The sequence below is a fragment of the Homo sapiens genome, chromosome 9 (genome assembly GCF_000001405.40).
Source record: "Homo sapiens chromosome 9, GRCh38.p14 Primary Assembly".
NCBI lineage: Eukaryota > Metazoa > Chordata > Mammalia > Primates > Hominidae > Homo > Homo sapiens.
In genome coordinates, this window is record NC_000009.12 from 88,814,908 (window position 1) to 88,817,253 (window position 2,346).

The window sequence follows — 2,346 nt, forward strand, 5'->3', positions numbered from 1 at the left end:
GAGGGGTGGACACCCCGCAAGAAGCCCTGTGACAGCCTCCACCCAGCGTGTCTCCATCTATAGGCAGTTGCTAAGAGACTTAAAATGCTTTTATTCCTGAAGTTTCTTCTTCTTTCCCCTCCTAACCACCCTGGTGTGGCCCTCAGCTCTCAGTAGATATTTCATGTTCTGCACTCCCCTTCCAACCATGTTTATTTCTGCTTTGGGATGCTTGTTGGAAATAGCATGCCATTCAAAGTCACAGACTGTCACCTTGTCCTTAGCTGCTGCCTTCATTTCAGTCCTTTTTTCTACCTATCGAGACTCATTGGCAACCACCATGTGGTCCCTCCCCAGTTATCCCACTGCTCTCTGGGGGCATCATCTGAGCTCGGTTGTCCCTCAGCAGCCTGGGCCAGAGCTGTCCTCTTTGGTTGATTCTTGAACAATCCATCACCTTCACATCCCAACGTGACATTTCCATAAGATCAAACTGCATTCTTTATCCATCCCTGAAGATACATATTCATTTTCAAAAGCTTTGGCTCTCAATTAAAACAGAGAGAGTCATTTGGTCGAGGGCTCTGTGGAAAAGACATTATTAGCTGGAGTATTCTTCTCTTCCCTGTGGTGAATGAGAGAGCATTTTCCAATTAAGGCACTCATTCACTTTCAAGAGGCATGTGCAGGGTGCTCAGATGCGGTATAAAGGAGAGCCAGGCAGATCAGTAGCAAACGAGAGGAAAAACTGGTGGAAAATTAAGAAGAAATGAGAGTATTCAGATGCCAGAAGAGAAAATGAAAGACTGATACAGTGACGTACTCCTGCCCCAGAAGCGGAGTGTCTGCTCAAAAGCGTGAATTTGTGCAAAAGGTTGTGCACCAAAGCAGAAGGGATTCTGTTTGCACAAATGCATGTTTCTATGGATGTGCACGAGATCTGTTGTTCTAACAAGAATTGCTGAGCATTTCCAGCAGGTCACTTAGGGGAGAAAGGACTCTGCAGCCTTCCTGGCCCATCTTCTTCCTAGGTATCCCGGGGGAAGGGCATTTCTGATCTGCCTGCTCCAAAGCTGGGACTAGTACTGGGCCATCTGCTATCGCCTCCCAGGTGATGTGCCATAAAGTCAGAACTCATGAAACATCTCCTGGGCAGCCTCCTTCACTTTCCACACCTGTAACGAGTGGAGAAATTTAGGCCTGGGTCTCTCTTTCTCTCACTCTCTCTGCCCCATCTTCGTCATACCAGATATTCCGAGCATGCTGGTCCCAAAATACAAGTAGTGTAGGGGAGGCCTGGAGAGAGTGAGGCAGGAGCTCAAGTTGTCCCAGAGCCTTGCGTGGGAGCTGGTTGTTGCTTTCCTGGCCACTGACAAAGCGCTTCACCGACCTCCAGTCTATTCTCATTTCCTGCCTTTGACTCCTCGGTAGAGCGCCGTGCATCATGACTGATGACTGACTCTCTTGCCGGCTCCCTGTGGTCAGTCCCTGGGTTGGGTTGAGGCAGACACTCCATCTTCATGGAGTGTGGTCTACTGTGGAATTTCCTGCTGTGTTGGTCTCTGCATCGGTCACTGTGATGGTCCCTGCTCTGGAACAGTGTAGACAACAACTGAGTCTGAAAGGAGAAGGATGGACAGGATCCAGATCCAGGGCTTTTCAAGTTGGGATTCCCCTGGGGCCAGGTAATCTATGTGCTCCAACAGCTCACTTTTTGAGTGGGCAATGTCACAGGCCAACTCCTTTGCTTCAGGTATATCAGGTGTACTAGGGTGTGCCAGAGTACCAGGTGTGCCGGAGGGATCAGACGTGCCAAGGGTGCCAGTTGTGCCAGGAGACCAGGTGTGCCAGGAACAAGGTGTGCCAGGGACCAGGTATGCCAGAGAACCAAGTGTGCCATGCGTACCAGGTGCATCCAGGGACCAGGTGTGCCACAGGACCAAGTGTGCTATGGGTACCAGGTGTGCCCAGGGACTATTCACATCAGGGGTACCAGATGTACAAGGCACCAGGTGTGCCAGGGGACCAGGTGTAGCAGGGATACCAGGTGTACCAGAAGTACCAAAGGTAGCTCAGCTCTTCTCCAGCTGATGATGCAGTGTTGACTCTATTTTTCTTTGAAATAAGAATTTTGTTCTCTCCTTCTCACACACGAAAATTATAAGGAAATTTATTTATATTTATTTATTTATTATAATGAAATTTAAGGAAAAATTGTATTTATAGTAAATACAAATAGATAAAAAGTTAAAACTATCTAAACTACCCCATTCAGGAATAACCACTTTAAATGCTTTAATGTCAGTCATTCCAATAATTTTTTGATTTTACATGTAATGTTTTCAATACACTCTACTTAAAAACAGA